Below are 17,270 nucleotides of genomic sequence, written 5' to 3' on the forward strand. Positions count from 1 at the left end.
TAAATAAAAGGACTCAGAATGTATAAGCTTTTTTTTTTTTTTTTTTGAGACAAGGCCTCACTCTTTTGCCCAGGCTGGAATACAGTGGCGCAAACACGCCTCAATGCAGCCTTGATCTCCTGGGCTCAAGCAATCCTCCTGCCTCAACTTCCACCACACCCAGATAATTTTGGACTGAATGACTGATGGTAGAAAGTGGGGCTTGTTACGTTGCCCAGGCTGGTCTTGAACTCCTGGCCTAGATTCTCTCACTTTGGCCTCCCAAAATTCTGAGCCACCACACCATGCCTGCATAAGTTTTAGACCCTAAACAATCTGGATCTTTCCCTGCCCAGAGTGATACCTGCTCACCAGGTATAAAGGGCAAACACTCCAGACTGGAGCAGAACAGAGGACTCCAAGAAAACTTCTTCAAGAACATGAAAGTGATAGAAGATTGATGTGGTAGTCATGGAGATGAGCCTCCCAACACCCCCCACCCCGCCCGCTGTTCAAGGAAGGGCCTGCTGCCCAGCTGCAGGGAGTTTGGACAGCAGACAGCCTCCAGCTGTCAGCTCCAGGGCTGGCCTCAGATGCAGACAGCCTCCTCGCCCAAGATCACATCCTTCCACATCCTTCCTCATCCTTCCCCAGGGCGGCCCCCATCAGGTGACTGAGCCAGGCAGTGGTATAAAGGCCTGGCCATTCCAGCCAGGCTTGGCACACTCTGATGGGCAAAACTCACTCCAGAGCTCCTTGCCAGGTTGGCCTAGGCTTTGCCAGGCCTGCACTGTAGTTTGACTTCTGCCCAATCCTGCTTCCTCCCACTTCCTTTCATAGGTGTTGATCCCTAACAAACCTCTTCTTCTGTGTACCTTCCAGAGAGACCAACCTGAGGTATCTGATTTGTCTGAATATCTTTTTTTTTTTTTTTTGAGACAGAGTCTTGCTCTGTCTCCCAGGCTGGAGTGCAGTGGCGCAATCTCGGCTCAGTGCAAGCTCCGTCTCCAGGGTTCACGCCATTCTCCTGCCTCAGCCTCCCGAGTAGCTGGGACTACAGGCGCCCACCACCACGCCCAGCTAATTTTTTATATTTTTTAGTAGAGAGGGGGTTTCACCGTGTTAACCAGAATGGTCTCAATCTCCTGACCCTCTGATCCACCTGCCTCGGCCTCCCAGAGTGCTGGGATTACAGGCGTGAGCCACCACGCCCAGCCTGTCTGAACATCTTGAGAGGAGATTTAGATACCTGGTAGGGAGTGGAATACACTAAGCAAGTGGTAAAACAGGACAATTAAGAGCTGCAGGAAAACAAAAAGTTGTAGAGGAAAGGAATCATAGCGCCGTCGAATAATGTAAACAATGAGAATTGAACAAAACAAAATTATGATGGCAGTTTAGAGAGATGGGGATTATCCGTATGGCTGGTGATGGGAAGTGTTAAAACTATCGTCCTCCAGCCTGGGCAACAAAAGTGAGACCCCATCTCTACAAAAAACAGAAAAAAATATTAGCCTGGCATGGTGGTGCGCACCTATTGTCCCAGCTACTCAAGAGGCTGAGCTGAGGATCACTTGAACCAGGAAGGTCGAGGCTGCAGTGAGCCATGGATGGCACCACTGCACTCCAGCCTGGGTGACAGAGTGAGACCCTGTCTCACAAAAACCCAAAAAATAAAACTATTTTCCATGGTAGAAAAACAAGAGATAGTGCCTATAACTGAAATATCAAGAAAGAGCAAAACAAGCACATTTATTTCGAGATATGGAGATAAATATAAAATATAGTCAGTTAAAGGAGTTGAAAATGGGTGCCTCTGCTTCAGTGGAATGGGCGATGTCTTTTTGTTTTCTTAGTAGAGATGGAGGTCTCACTATGTTGCCCAGGCTGGTCTTGAACTCCTGGGCTCAAGCAATCCTCCCACCTTGGCCTCCCAAAGTGCTGGGATTATAGGTGTGATAATCATGCCCAGCCTGCTGTTTTTATAAAAACTTATCTGTTTAAACTTTGTGCATATATAACTTTGATTAGGAAAAGAAAAGAGTATAAGCTTCCCAATGACAGAGATTGCAAGAGTCTGGTTACTATAAAATCCCCAGCATTCTACATGTAGTAGGTGCTCAAGAAGTATTTGTTGTTCACGTCATTGAATAAAAGTCACCCCCCAGCTTGGAACTCTGAATGGCTTCTGACAGCACAGTATTAAGATCACAGTCTAAGCCTGGGCAACACAGGGAAACCCTGGCTCTACAAAAAATACAAAAATTAGCCAGGCATAGTGGCACACACCTGTAGTCCCAGCTGCTAGGGAGGCTGAGGTGGAAGGATTGCTTGAGCCTAGGAGGTCGATGCTGCAGTAAGCCATGGATGGCACAACTGCACTCCAGCCTGGGTGACAGAGCAAGACTGTCTCAAAAAAAAAAAAAAAAAATCACAGTCTGTGATGCGCCAGGCACTCAGGATCTGGCCTCTGCAGATTCCTCCGGTTTCTTCTTCAGGCCTCTTTCAGGTGGTCACATGCACAAGGTTTCCTCCTGTCTCAGGAACTGTTTACACGCTGTTCCTTCTCCCTAGAAAGCGCTTCACCACCATCACCTGGTTCTCGCACATAAATTGGTGAGATTTCAGCTCAAATGTCACTTCCTCCAGGAAGTCCTCCCTGTTTCTTGGTTCTCCTATCTCATTCCCTCATTCACCAGCCCAGTGGAGCCATGGTGGACCTATCTCAAGATCCCAAAGGGCCTTGCGGGCCATGTTAAGACATTTGCTCTTTGTCTGGAAGAGAACTGGGAGTCACCGAAGTGTTGCCAGCAGGGAAGGTTAAGATCAGATATGCTGATAGATCTGGGGCTCAGAAAGAATTATGAAAAGCAGCAAGCCTCCTTACTTGATACACAGACAACCTTGCTCAACCAACAGTGGCTTCATCCTACCTCCCCAGGGTACTTCCAGTAATTCCCTATGGTAGTGTTTTCCAGAATGGGACATGACTACAGCTGGGGGCCCTAGGTATTTTTTTTTTTTTTTTTTTGAGACAGTCTTGCTCTGTCGCCCAGACTGGAGTGCAGTGGCATGATATGGACTCACTGCAACCTCTGCCTCCCGGATTCAAGCAATTCTCCTGCCTCAGCCTCCCGAGTAACTGAGACTACAGGTGCGCACCACCACGCCTGGCTAATTGTTGTATTTTTAGTAGAGATGGGGTTTCACCATGTTGGCCAGGCTGGTCTTGAACTCCTGACCTCGTGATCCACCTGCCTTGGCCTCGCCTTGGCAAAACCCCGTCTCTACTAAAAATACAAAAATTAGCCAGGCGTGGTGTCTCGTGCCTGTAGTCCCAGCTACTTGGGAGGCTGAGGCAGGAGAACGGCTTGAACCTTGGAGGCGGAAGTTGCAGCGAGCCGAGATCATACTGCTTAACTCCAGCAAAAAGAAAAAAAAGAAAGCTGGGGCTGCGCGCGGGGGCTTATGCCTGTAACCCCAGCACTTTGGGAGGACAGCCTGGCCAACAGAGCGAGACCCTATCTCTATTTTTTTTTAAAAAAATAACAAAACAAAAAAAGCTGGTTGGTTGTTGGGAGGCCTGGCTGCTTTTGGGAAGGATAATCCTCGTCCACACCAAGGTGATTCAGTGAGCAGGGTGAGGGCAGATGCTGGGTGTCCACGCCCCGGCCCCACAGCAGCCAGAGGAAGATACCAGCCCGCGCACCCGTCGCCATGGCAACCTCAACCCCACTCCTGGACCCTAGCTCGGAAGGGGGCAGGGTATCGAAAGCCGATCGCCAGAGGCTCCTCGGTGCCTCGTGCGAGTCCCCGCCGTCAGCCCCGAGGAGCCTCCTGGCACCAAGCAGGCGCTGCCCCCTTCGGCCACACGGTGGCGGCGCAGAGCCGAGCTCCGCGCCCCACCTGGGAGGCGGCGCCCGCGGGATGGGGCTCCTCGGCCCAGCTCCCCAGCCTCGACAAGGATACGGCCCGACATCCAGGCCAGGAGCGTCGCTGGGGCTTAACCGCCGTTCCCCAAGGCGCCCCTCCACTCCTCCAGCGGGCTCCCGCATCCCCCATTATCCGGCGGACCCCAACCCCTGCTCACGTGACTCGCCCGCCACCCTCGAAGAACTCTCGTGGGGCCGCCCCGCCCTGCCGCAGGTCACGCGCTGCGCACCTGGAGGGCATCTGGCCAGCCGCCAGCTAGAGCCTGCCCCTGCTCAGGCTCGGCTCAACCCGGGCCCGCGCCTGCTCCGAGCCCAGGAAGAGCGTCCTGTCCAGCTCCCAAGTGCGCCGGCCCGTGGGGAAGGAGGCGGGAGTGGGCTCCAGCGGTGCGGCCCTCGCTCCTCCGACCCGGGGCCCTCTCCACCTCGGGGGAAGAAAGAGGCCTCTGCCTCCGCCTCCTTCCCTGAGCGCTGCCACCCTCACTCCGGCCCTCTGACCGCGGGTCCCGGACATTGCGCTTAGGGGTCGCCTTGCAGGGCCAGAGAAGCTGGCAGACCACGCGCGCGCACGTGCCGGGGCGGGGCGTCACCGGGGGCGGGGCCTGGAAGGGCGGGGTCGGCGGGCTCGGGTTCCCGCGGGGCGCGCGCGGGGTGACGGGAGCCGGGACTACGCGGAAGTGGGGGTAGGGGCCGCGGGACGGGGAGGGGCGTCCCCAGTACCCGCGAGTGGCTTCAGGGAGCGCAAGGCCAGCTGAGTCTGGGCGCTGGATGGGCGGCCTTGGCATTAGGTCCAGATTTGGGTCCTAAGTACTGTGCCCAACCGGCCCGAGGGGAAGGGGGAGGAGACAGGAACCGCGCCCATTTTCCGGATCAGGTTCTTGGAACCAGCCCGGAAATCCTGGGACTCAATCTGGGGGCCAGATCTGGAGGCGATGGTTTTTCTAGAGACGGGCTGATGCAGCCCCAGTATGCCGTCGCACTCATTTCCCACATTCCAGGAACGGTCCAGGTCTGCCCTTCAGCGGTTTGGGAACTCCGCGACGACTCCCTCTCTCCACAACTGCAGGGTGGGCCGCGCTCTGAAAACCTGGCAAAGCGATGGGGGTCCCTCAGAGCCCCTCCTTCATATTCAGTTTCAAAAGGATTTGGCATTGGGGAAACCTTGGGACCTCAAGCCACATGGAGAAAGAGCTCCAGGTCACAAGGGCTTGGACCTGAGGGCACCTCGGCTGGCTCCTTTCTCGTGCAGTCTTTGCAAAAGAGGACCAGGTGGTGGCCAGAAGGGCACTTTGAGGGCTGAAGAGCTCAAACTGCACAGGGATAGGACCGAGGTGCAGAGTCCTTGGGGCCCTTTTTTTTTCTGTCATATCTTGTTTTGCCATTCGGCCTGGAAATACCTGGAAATTCTTCCTGCCTGTTTTTCCCTCAGAAAAGTTTTTTTTATGTAAAAGTGGCCAGGCACAACTGTAATCCCAGCACTTTGGGAGGCCGAGGTGGGCGGATTGCTTGAGGCCAGGGGTTCGAGACCAGCCTGGGCAACATAGCAAGACCCCGTCTCTGCCAAAAATACAACAAATTAGCCAGGCGTGGAAACGCGCGCCTGTAATCCTAACTGCTGGGGAGGCTGAGGCAGGAGACTCGCTTGAACCTGGGAGGCAGAGGTTACAGTGAGCCACCAAGATCAAGATCGTGCCACTGCACTCCAGCCTGGGCGACAGAGAAAACAGAAAAGGAAAAAAAAAAAAAAGAAAGGACATCTCTGCCGGGCTCTGTGTGTGGCTCATGCCTGCAATAGCAACATTTTGGGAGCCTGAGGCAGAGGGATTGCTTGAGGCCAGGAGTTTGAGTCCAGTCTGGGCAACACTGAGAGACCCTGTCTCTACAAAATATAAACAAAATTTGCCAGGTGCTGTCATCCGCCTGTAGTCCCAGCTACTCCGGAGGCTGGGGTGGGAGGATCACTTGAGCCCAGGAGGTCGAGGCTGCAGTGAGCAGCCACTCTATCCTGGGTGACAGAGACCCTGTCTCTAAGAAATGAATGAATGAACATCTTGCTGTGAGATGTGCTGTGTAACCCCTTTGCAATGTCCTCCCGAGAACTTTGGTAAAGGCTTTTGCTTTTTTGCAGTGCTTTTTGGAGTTGGATTGGGGGTGTGTGTGTGTGTGCACGCGCGTGCAAGTAGGGAGAAAGGGATTGGTTTTATACATTTTGTTTATTTTTCCTTTTATGAGAATAGAATAGCCTCCCTAGCCTTGCTCATTCTGTGCCCTCTACCCCGAATGCACTGCGTTTCCTCCTCCCTATCCTGTAAGGGCTACCTTTCTCCATCTCATTCTCCTGTTGCCACCAGCTCTTTTCCAGTCCCTCATTATAGTCATATAAGAACAGGTGACTGGCCTTTCTACTAGTGAACTGGTAGGCCATAATGAATGGGAATTTTGCTACCACCAGAATACTTTTTTTTTTTTTTTTTTTTTTTTGAGACAGAGTCTCGCTCTTGTTGCCCAGGCTGGAGTGCCCAGGCGCAATCTTGGCTCACCCCAATCTCCGCCTCCCGGGTTCAAGCGATTCTTCTGCCTCAGCCTCCCGAGTAGCTGGAACTACAGGCATGCACCACCACACCCGGCTAATTTTTGCATTTGTAGTAGAGACAGGGTTTCACCATGTTGGCCAGGCTAGTCTCCAACTCCCGACCTCAGGTGATGCACCCACCTTGGCCTCCCAAAGTGCTGGGATTACAGGCGTGAGCCACCGCACCAGGCCCCAGAATCCTTATGATTACAAGAAACTGCTGGTTTGTTGGTTTTATAAACCTCTTGGTTAGCATGATTCTTGTTTCCCTCTTTGTTTTGGTTGGTAAGAAGCTCAGAACTTTTCTATATCTTTATTATTTTTTGTCCCAATTTTCTTTCTTTCTTTTTTTTTTTGAGATGGAGTCTTGCTCTGTCACCCAGGCTGGAGTGCAGTGGTGCAATCTGGGCTCACTGCAACCTCCACCTCCCAGGTTCAAGCAATTCTCTGGCCTTAGCCTTCTGAGTAGCTGGGGTTACAGGTGCATGCTGCCATGCCCGGCTAAATTTTATATTTTTAGTAGAAACAGGGTTTCACCATTTTGGCCAGGCTGGTCTCGAACTCCTGACCTCAAGTGATCCACCTGCCTTGGCCTCCCAAAGTGTTGGGATTACAGGCGTGAGCCACCATGCCTGGCCCCAATTCTCTTATTTACTTTTTTTTTTTTTTTTAACAGAGGAGGTCTTGCTTTGTTGCCCAGGCTAGACTCAGACTCCTGGACTCAAGCAGTACTCCCAACTCAAGCTCCCAAGTAGCTGAGACTATAGATACACACCTGGCTTGGTATAATAAAAATATTTTTTAAGGCTAAAAGTAAAGAATAAGCTCAATGCAGTGGTGCATGCCAGGAGTCCGATTATATCCTAGGAAACATAGCAAGACACTGTGTCTCAAAAGATAAAAATTTTAAAAAAAACTTTTTATTTTGGAAATTTTCAAGCATACATAAAAGTAGAGAGAATATAATAAATTACCAGGCTGGGCACGGTGGCTCATGCCTGTAATCCCAGGACTTTGGGAGGCCAAGGTGGGCAGATCATGAGGTCAGGAGTTCAAGACCAGCCTGGCCAAAATAGTGAAACCCTGTCTCTACTAAAAATACAAGAATTAGCTGGGCATGGTGGCACGTGCCTGTAGTCCCAGCTACTTGAAAGGCTGAGGCAGGAGAATCGCTTGAACCCAGGAGGTAGAGGTTGCAGTGAGCCGAGATCTCGCCACTGCACTCCAGCTTGGGTAACAGAGTGAGACTTCGTCTCAAAAAATAATAATAATAAATTATTATGTACCTACCACACACCTTCAGTAATTATCAACATTTTGCCAATCTTGTTTCATCAACCTCCCCACTTTTTCCTCTCTCTAAAGTATTATAAAGCAAATTCCAGACATCATATCAATTCACCTGAATTATTTCATTATCAATCTCAAATAAGATTTTTTCATGGGAGGCTGAGGCAGGAGAATGGCGTGAACCTGGGAGGCAGAGGTTGCAATGAGCCAAGATCTTGCCACTACACTCCAGCCTGGGCAACAGAGCGAGACTGTCTCAAAAAAAAAAAAAAAAAAAAAAAAAGATTTTTTCAAACAACTCCAATGCTACTGTCACACCTAATTGACAAAATTTATGCAAATTCCTTAAAATTATTTAATACCTAGTCCATGTTCAAATTTCTTTTTTCTTTTTCTTTTTTTTTTTTTTGAGACAGAGTCTCACTCTGTCACCCAGGCTGGAGTGCAGTGGTACGATCTCAGCTCACTGCAACCTCCGCCTCCTGGGTTCAAGCAATTCTCCTACCTCAGCCTCCCTAGTAGCTGAGATTACAGGTACCTGCCACCACACCAGGCTAATTTTTTGTATTTTTAGTAGAGACGGGGTTTCACTGTGTTGGCCAGGCTGGTCTTGAACTCCTGACCTCGTGATCCGCCCATCTAGGCCTCCCAAAGTGCTGGGATTACAGGCATGAGCCACCGCGCCCGGCCTCAAATTTCTTCAATAGTTGGTTTGTTCCAATCAGGATTCAACAAGATCCACACACTTCACTTGGTTGATGTGTCTCTTAAGTAACTTTTGATCAGTTCCACTTTTCTTTCCATTTTTTTTAATGCTATTGAGTTGTAGAAGAAACCAGAATATTTGTCCTGTAAAAGTTCCTACATTCCAGATTTGGCTGATTGCTTTCCAGTAGTGTATTTTTTTCTTTTTTGAGACAGAGTCTTGCTCTGTCGCCCAGGCTAGAGTACAGTGGTGCAATCTCGGCTCACTGCAACCTCTGCCTCCCGGCTTCAAGCAATTCTCCTGCCTCAGCCTCATGAGTAGTTGGGATTACAGGCACCCGCCACCATGCCCGGCTAATTTTTCTATTTTTTTTAGTAGAGACGGGATTTCACCATCTTGGCCAGGCTGGTCTCGAACTCCTGACCTCATGATCCACCTGCCTCAGCCTCCCAAAGTGCTGGGATTACAGGCGTGAGCCACTGTGCCTGGCCCCAGTAGTGTATTTGTTTCTAACTTTCTAATTCTCTCATTCTTTTGGCATTCATTAGCTCAGTATAAAGAACTTTTTGAGAATTTTTTTTTTGAGACAGAGTCTTGCTCTGTTGCCCAGGCTGGAGTGCAGTGGCACGATCTTGGCTCACTGCAACCTCCGCCTCCAGGTTCAAGCAATTCTCTTGCCTCAGCCTTCCGAGTAACTGGGATTACAGCCACCTGCCACTACGCCTGAGTAATTTTAGTGGAGATGTGGTTTCACCATGTTGGCCAGGCTAGTCTCAAACTCCTGACCTCAAGTGATGTACCTGCCTTGGCCTCCCAAAGTACTGGGATTACAGGTGTGAGCCACCGCACCCAGACTCAGTAGTGTATTTTACCTTGTTTTTCTGCCCCTTGTGTTTCCAGCAAACTGAAAGTTAGATCCAGAAGCTTGATTACATTTAAGAATGCCTGAATGTTTCTTTTTATTTATTTCTTTTTTTTTTTTTTTTGAAACAAGGTCTCACTCTGTCGCCCAGGCTGGAGTGCAGTGGCACAATCATGGCTCACTACAGCCTTGACCTCCTGCCTCAGCCTCCCAAGTAGCTGTGACTACAGGCACGCCATCACACCTGGCTACTTTTTTTTTGAGATGGAGTCTCACTCTGTCGCCCAGGTTGGAGTGCAGTGGCGTGATCTTGGCTCATTGCAAACTCCGCCTCCCAGGTTCAAGCAATTCTTCTGCCTTAGCCTCCCGAGTAGCTGGGACTACAGGCACCCGCCACCAAGCCTGGCTAATTTTTGTATTTTTAGTAGAGATGGGGTTTCACCATATTGGCCAGGCTGGTCTCGAAGGCCTGACTTCGTGATCCACCCACATTGGCCTCCCAAAGTGCTGGGATTACAGGCATGAGCCACCGCGCCCAGCCACACCTGGCTACTTTTTAATATTTTTGTAGAAATGAGGTCTCACTGTGGCCCAGGCTGGTCTTGAACTCCTGAGCTTGAGTGATCCTCCCACCTTGGCCTCCCAAAGTACTGATATTACAGGTGTGAGCCACTACACCTGGCCCCCTGAGTGTTTAAAGAATACCTTATTGGTAACAGTGCTGTGTACTTATTATTACATCACATCTGGAGACACATATGTCTAGTTGACGTTTTTACTGATTGATCAGTGGGTTTAATGCCCTCTTCAGTATAAAATTTCCCATCAACCTTTCACCTATTGGTTTTATTATCCACTAATGATTCAATTTTATTAGCTATTGCAAAATAATTTTCTAATTCTCTCATTCTTTTTGCATTCATTAGCTCAATGTAAAGAACATTTTCTCATTCATTATTTGATTCTTTTGAAATATAGTTTATACAAGACAGACAATATAAATGCTTAATTTTTCTTACGTATTTTTATGACTTGCCTGAACTCCTTTGTGGAACAGTGTGTTAAAAACAAAAAGGCAGGCCTAGCAGTGGAATTGAGAGAGTACAGGCCTTGGAGTCATACTTACTAGCTGTCTGACCTTGGGCAATCCTTGTGAGCCTGTTTCCTTAACTGCAAAATGGAGTTACTGACCCCAGCATCTCCCTATCTTCCAGAGAATCATATCCAGGCCTAGAACAAACAATTCCTTGTGCAAGATGTAAAAAGTGTTAATTGTGGAAAATTTAGAGAAGGCAGATAGAACAAAGAAGATGATATAAGTCTTGTGAAAAAAGTCTAGCACATGCCTAGCATATAGGAAATATTTTTTACAATCCTCTGTTGGCTTTCATGCTGCCCTACCTCAGCATCCACCTGGAAGAGAGGAAATTTAGCCAGGAATTTCTTGGGATGACTCCAGCCCCATCCCAAGAAAATCCAAGCAGGAGTGAGAGGGGGTGTCCCAGGAAGAGAGCAGGCGGTGGATTCCTCTAGTCTTATGTTAAGAGCTAGTGATTTGAACTTAGACCTGCCACAAACTTGCTGTGAGATCCTGGGAAAGTCCCATAACTCCCTGAACCAGAGTTACTCACCTGAGAGATAGAGGTTGTCCATGCTGATCTGTCGGGGTTGTTGGAGGACCACATGGGGTGTGAATGTGTATGTGCCCACCACAGTGCTGGCTATTGGGAGGTGCTCAGAAAATAGGGGTTAGCTCGGTTCTGAGTTGGGGACCTCCCTTTCTGAGCTCCCACCACATTCAAGTTCACTCATAATAGTCTATGAGGGGCCGGGCATGGTGGCTCACGTCTATAATCCCAGCACTTTGAGAGGCTGAAATGGGCAGATCACCTGAGGTCAGGAGTTTGAGACCAGCCTGGCCAACATGGCGAAACCCCATCTCTACTAAAAATACAAAAATTAGGCCGGGCACGGTGGCTCATGCCTGTAATCCCAGCACTTTGGGAGGCTGAGGCGGGTGGATCACGAGGTCAGGAGATCGAGACCATCCTGGCTAACATGGTGAAACCCTGTCTCTACTAAAAAAAATACAAAAAATTAGCTGGGCATGGTGGTGGGCGCCTGTAGTCCCAGCTACTCGAGAGGCTGAGGCAGGAGAATGGCGTGAACCTAGGAGGCGGAGCTTGCAGTGAGCCGAGATCGCGCCACTGCACTCCAGCCTGGGCGACAGAGCGAGACTCCATTTCAAAAAAAAAAAAAAAAATTAGCCAGGTGTGGTGGCATGTGCCTGTAATCCCAGCTACTTGGGAGGCTGAGGCAGGAGAATCTCGAATCCGGAAGGCGGAGGTTGCAGCGAGCTCCACTGCACTCCAGCCTGGGCGACAGACTTCATCTCAAAAAAAAAAAAAAAAAGTCGGCTGGGTGCAGTGGCTCACGCCTGTAATCCCAGCACTTTGGGAGGCCGAGGCGGGCGGATCACAAGGTCAGGAGATCGAGACCATCCTGGCTAACACAGTGAAACCCCGTCTGTACTAAAAATATAAAAAATTAGCCAGGCTTGGTGGAGGGCGCCTGTAGTCCCAGCTACTCAGGAGGCTGAGGCAGGAAAACGGCGTGAACTCGGGAGGCGGAGCTTGCAGTGAGCCGAGATCACGCCACTGCACTCCAGCCTGGGTGACAGAGCGAGACTTCGTCTCAAAAAAGAAAAAAAAAGAGTCTATGAGGACTGTGTGAGGTGAGGTTTGGAACCCAGCTTCTCACAAAACTGCTGTGTCAATTGGGAAGCCTCTCCTTCTCTGGGGCATGGATCCCTCCATTTGTGAAACGGTGAAATTAGAGGTCCAAATTCAAATGCCCATAGGAGCAGGTGGGTAACATAAGGAAGTTAAATGAGTAAGGAGTTCAGACAATGGGGACTATGGCAGTGTGACAAACTAGCCTCATCTGAAAGAGGTGGCTACTCCATTCCTGCTGATGGTTATAAAGCAGGAATGTGGGTCCGGATGCCCGTATTTTTAAAGAAGCTAGAAAGTTGTATTTTTTTTTTTTTTTTTTTTTTTTTTTTGAGACGGAGTCTCGCTCTGTCGCCCAGGCCGGACTGCGGACTGCAGTGGCGCAATCTCGGCTCACTGCAAGCTCCGCTTCCCGGGTTCACGCCATTCTCCTGCCTCAGCCTCCCGAGTAGCTGGGACTACAGGCGCCCGCCACCGCGCCCGGCTAATTTTTTGTATTTTTAGTAGAGACAGGGTTTCACCTTGTTAACCAGGATGGTCTCGATCTCCTGACCTCATGATCCACCCGCCTCGGCCTCCCAAAGTGCTGGGATTACAGGCGTGAGCCACCGCGCCCGGCCGAAAGTTGTATTTTTAAAATCTTATTTATTTATTTTGTTGTTAATTTAATTTTAAATTGGAATGATGGCAAGTAATTTGAGATATTTAACAACCTGTGCACAGCACACGAGTGTAGGCATACCTCATTTTATTGCACTTTACTTGTGCTTCATCAAATTTTTTTTTTAGATGGGGTCTTGCTCTGTCACCCAGGCAAGTGCAGTGGCATGATCACCGCTCACTGCAGCCCCAATTGCCCAGGCTCAAGTGATCCTCTAACCTCAGGCTCCTCGGTAACTACGATCACAGGTGCGAGGCACCAGGCCCAGCTGATTTTATTTTTTATTTTATTTAATTAATTTATTATTATTATTATTATTATTATTTGAGATGGAGGTTTGCTGTTATTGCCCAGGCTGGAGTGCAATGGCACAACCTCGGCTCACCGCAACATCCGCTTCCTGGGTTCAAGCGATTCTCGTGCCTCAGGCTCCGGAGTAGCTGGGATTACAGGCATGCACCACCACGCCCAGCTAATTTTGTATTTTTAGTAGAGATGAGGTTTCTCCATTTTGTCAGGCTGGTCTCAAACTCCTGACCTCAGGTGATCCGCCCACTTGGGCCTCCCAAAGTGTTAGGATTACAGGCATGAGCCACTGCACCCAGCCTATTTTTTATTTTTTATGTAGAGATGAGGTCTCCGTATGTTGCCCAGGCTGATCTTGAACTCCTGCACTCAAGCAGTCCTCCCATCTTGGCCTCCCAAAGTGCTGGGATTCTGGGCGTGAACCACCACACCCAATCGATATTTTGTTTTTAACAAATTGAAGGTTTGTGGCAACCCCGTGTGGAGCAACTACAGGCACCATTTTTCCTACAGCATGTGTTCATTTCGTGCCTGTGTCATATTTTGGTAATTCTCACAATATTTCAGATTGTTTCATTGTTATGGTATCTGTGATGGTGATCTGTGATCAGTGAGTTTTGATGTTACTATTGTGATTGTTTTGGGGCACCACAAACTGTGCCCATATAAGATGGCAAACTTAAGCTGGGCGCAGTGGCTCATGCCTGTAACCCCAGCACTTTGGGAGGCCAAGGCGGGTGGATCACAAGGTCTAGGAGTTTGAGACCAGCCTGTCCAATATGGTGACACCCTGTCTCTACTAAAAATACAAAAATTAGCCAAGCGTGGTGGCTCGCACCTGTAGTGCCAGCTACTTGGGAGGTTGAGGCAGAAGAATCGCTTGAACCCAGGAGGCAGAGGTTGCAGTGAGCTGAGATCGCACCACTGCACTCCAGCCTGGGTGACAGAGCGAGACTCCGTCTCAGTGGTGTGTGTTTTCTGACTGTTCCACCCACCGGTGCCCTTCCCTCATCTCTCTCCCTCCCCTCTGGCCTCCCTATTCCCTGAGATAAAACAATATTGAAATTAGGCCAATAAAAACCCTACAGTGCCCCAGAACTTAAAGTATAATAAAAATAATAATAAAAATAAAATCCTACAGTGGCCTCTAAGTGTTCAAGTGAAAGGAAGACTCGAATGTCTCTCATTTTTAATCAAAAGCTAGAATTAATTAAACTTAGTGAGGAAGGCCAAAAGCTAGGTCTCTTGTGTCAGCCAAGTTGTGAATGCAAAAGAAAAGTTCTTAAAGGAAATTAAAAGTGCTACTCCAGTGAACACATGAATGACAAGAATGTGGAACAGGCTGGGCACTGTGGCTCATGCCTGTAATCCCAGCTCTCTGGGAGGCCAAGGCAGGCGGATCACTTGAGTCCAGGAGTTGGAAGTCAGCTTGGGCAACATAGTGAGACCCTGTCTCTACAAAAATAAAAAGTTAGCCAGGGCTGGGTGCAGTGGCTCACACCTGTAATCCCAGAACTTTGGGAGGCTGAGGCAGGCAGATCACTTGAGGTCAGGAATGTGAGACCAGCCTGACTGACATGGTGAAACCCTGTATCTACTAAAATACAAAAAAAATTAGCTGAGTGTGGTGGTGCATGCTTGTAATCCCAGCTACTTGGGAGGCTGAGGCAGGAGAATTGCTTGAACTCACAATGTGGAGGTTGCAGTGAGCAGAGATCATGCCATTGCACTCCAGCCTGGGCGGCAGACCGAAAATTCATCTAAAAAAAAAAGTGCAAGGTGAAGCAGCAAGTGCTAATGGAGAAGCTTTAGCAAATAATCCAGAAATTTTTTTTTTTTTTTTTTTTTTTTTTTGGAGACAGAGTCTCCTTCTGTCACCCAGGCTGCAGTGTAGTGGCACGATCTTGCACTGCAACCTCCGCCTCCCGAGTTCAAGTGATTCTCTGCCTCAGCCTCCCACGTTGCCGGGAATACAGGCACCCACCACAACGCCTGGCTAATTTTTTTTTTTTTTTTTTGAGACGGAGTTTCGCTCTTGTTACCCAGGTTGGAGTGCAATGGCTTGATCTTGGCTCACTGCAACCTCCGCCTCCCGGGTTCAAGCGATTCTCCTGCCTCAGCCTCCCGAGTAGCTGGGATTACAGGCACGTGCCACCACACCAGGCTAGTTTTGTATTTTTAGTAGAGACGGGGTTTCACTATGTTGACCAGGCTGGTTTTGAACTCCTGACCTCAGGTGATCCACCCTCATCGGCCTCCCAAAGTGCTGGGATTACAGGCATTAGCCACCACGCCCAGCCTAATTTTTGTATTTTTAATAGAGATGAGGTTTCACCATGTTGGCCAGGTTGGTCTCAAACTCCTGCCCTCAAGTGATCTACCTGCCTCAGCCTCTCAAAGTGCTGGGATTACAGGAGTGAGCCACCATGCCCACCCAACATATTTTCAGTGTAGATGAAACAGACTTCAGTCCGAGCACAGTGGTTCATGCCTGTAATCCCAGCACTTTGGGAGGCTGAGGCGGGTGGATCACTTGACGTCAGGAGTTCAAGACCAGCCTAGCCAATATAGTGAAACCCTATCTCTACTAAAAATACAAAAATTGGCTGAGCATGGTGGCAAGCACCTGTAATCCCAGCTACTCGGGAGGGTGAGGCCGGAGAATCACTTGAACCCAGGAGGCAGAGGTTGGAGCTGAGCCTTAGAGGGAGCTGAGATTGCACCATTGCACTCCAGCCTGGGTAACAAGAACGAAACTCTGTCTCTCTCTCTCTCTCTCTCTCTCTCTCTCTCTCTCTCTCTCTCTCTCTCTCATACACACACACACACACAAACACACACACACACACACACACACACAAAAGAGCCTTCTATAGGAAGAAGATGCCATCTAGAACTTTCATAGCTAGAGAGAAGTCAATGCCTGGCTTCAGTGCTTCAAAGGACAGGCCGACTCTCTTGTTAGGGGCTAATGCAGTTGGCAACTTGAATTTGAAGCCAGTGCTCATTGACCATTCTGGGGAAAATCTCAAGGACTTTAAAACTTATGCCGAATCCACTCTTGCTGTCCTCTATAAATGGGAAAACACAGCCTGGATGACAACACATCTGTTTACAGCATGGTTTATGGAATACTTTAGGCCCACTGTTGAGACCTACTTCTTAGGAAAAAGATTTCTTTTAAAATATTACTGCTCATTGACAATGCACATGATCACCCAAGAGCTCTGATGGAGATGTACAAGATTAATATGATTTTCATGCCTGCTAACACAACATCCATTCTGCAGCCCATGGATCAGGGAGTAATTTTGACTTTCAAGTCTTATTATTTTAAGAAATACATTTTAGGCTGGGTGCAGTGGCTCACACCTGTAATCCAAGCACTTTGGGAGGCTGAGGCAGGTGGATCACCTGAGGTTGGGAGTTCAAGACCAGTCTGACCAACATGGAGAAACCCCATCTCTACTAAAAGTACAAAATTAGCTGGGCGTGGTGGCACGTGCCTGTAATCCCAGCTACTTGGGAGGCTGAGGCAGGAGACTCGCTTGAACCTGGGAGGTGGAGGTTGCAGTGAGCCGAGATCATGCCATTGCACTCCAGACTGGGCAAGAAGAGTGAAACTCCATCTCAAAAAAAAAAAAAAGAAAGAGATACATTTTAAGGCCGGGTGCAGCGGCTCACACCTGTAATCCCAGCACTTTGAAAGGCCGAGGCAGGTGGATTACCTGAGGTCAGGAGTTCGAGACCAGCCTGACCAATATGATGAAACCCTGTCTCAAAACAAAACAAAAAACAAAGTGTATGTCCTTGGCCAAATCACTTGGCCTCTCTGTGCCTTACTTTTCTTTTTCTTTTTTCTGAGACAGAGTCTCGCTCTGTTGCCCAGGCTGGAGTGCAGTGGCCCGATCTCGGCTCACCGCAGCCTCCACCTCCCGGGTTCAAGCAGTTCTCCTATCTCAGCCTCCCAAGTAGCTGGGACTACAGGTGCGTGCCACCACACCCGGCAATTTTTTTTTTAATTTTTAGTAGAGATGGGGTTTCACCATGTTAGCCAGGATGGTCTCGATCTCCTGACCTTGTGATCTGCCCACCTCGGCCTCCCAAAGTGCTGGGATTACCGGTGTGAGCCACCGTGCCCAGCCTGTGCTTCACGTTTCTTATCTGTAACACAGGGGTAATTATAGCACTTACTTTACAGGATTGTCGCGAGGGCTAAATAAGCAAGGTCAG

The 17,270-nt window shown here is 49.2% G+C and overlaps 7 annotated features.

Annotated features, from left to right (window-relative positions):
- Positions 3,780-3,959: a silencer, noted in NCBI's record as "silent region_480". NCBI's record gives its function as "represses an Ori minimal core promoter by ATAC-STARR-seq in GM12878 lymphoblastoid cells {active_cell/tissue: GM12878}" and the evidence as "EXISTENCE:reporter gene assay evidence [ECO:0000049][PMID:35858748]".
- Positions 4,170-4,659: a silencer, noted in NCBI's record as "silent region_481". NCBI's record gives its function as "represses an Ori minimal core promoter by ATAC-STARR-seq in GM12878 lymphoblastoid cells {active_cell/tissue: GM12878}" and the evidence as "EXISTENCE:reporter gene assay evidence [ECO:0000049][PMID:35858748]".
- Positions 4,840-4,909: an enhancer, noted in NCBI's record as "active region_504". NCBI's record gives its function as "activates an Ori minimal core promoter by ATAC-STARR-seq in GM12878 lymphoblastoid cells {active_cell/tissue: GM12878}" and the evidence as "EXISTENCE:reporter gene assay evidence [ECO:0000049][PMID:35858748]".
- Positions 4,840-5,526: a biological region, named in NCBI's record as "H3K27ac hESC enhancer GRCh37_chr1:26827864-26828521".
- Positions 4,869-5,526: an enhancer, noted in NCBI's record as "H3K27ac hESC enhancer chr1:26827864-26828521 (GRCh37/hg19 assembly coordinates)". NCBI's record gives its function as "activates a minimal SCP1, AML or CMV promoter by ChIP-STARR-seq in naive H9 embryonic stem cells {active_cell/tissue: H9 hESC(naive)}" and the evidence as "EXISTENCE:reporter gene assay evidence [ECO:0000049][PMID:30033119]".
- Positions 4,940-4,999: an enhancer, noted in NCBI's record as "active region_505". NCBI's record gives its function as "activates an Ori minimal core promoter by ATAC-STARR-seq in GM12878 lymphoblastoid cells {active_cell/tissue: GM12878}" and the evidence as "EXISTENCE:reporter gene assay evidence [ECO:0000049][PMID:35858748]".
- Positions 12,072-12,292: a transcriptional cis regulatory region, noted in NCBI's record as "candidate enhancer chr1.3789 targeted for multiplex CRISPR interference". NCBI's record gives its function as "positively regulates LIN28A gene expression with high confidence in K562 cells {active_cell/tissue: K562}" and the evidence as "EXISTENCE:mutant phenotype evidence [ECO:0000015][PMID:30612741]".

This window comes from Homo sapiens, chromosome 1 (assembly GCF_000001405.40).
Source record: "Homo sapiens chromosome 1, GRCh38.p14 Primary Assembly".
Lineage (NCBI taxonomy): Eukaryota > Metazoa > Chordata > Mammalia > Primates > Hominidae > Homo > Homo sapiens.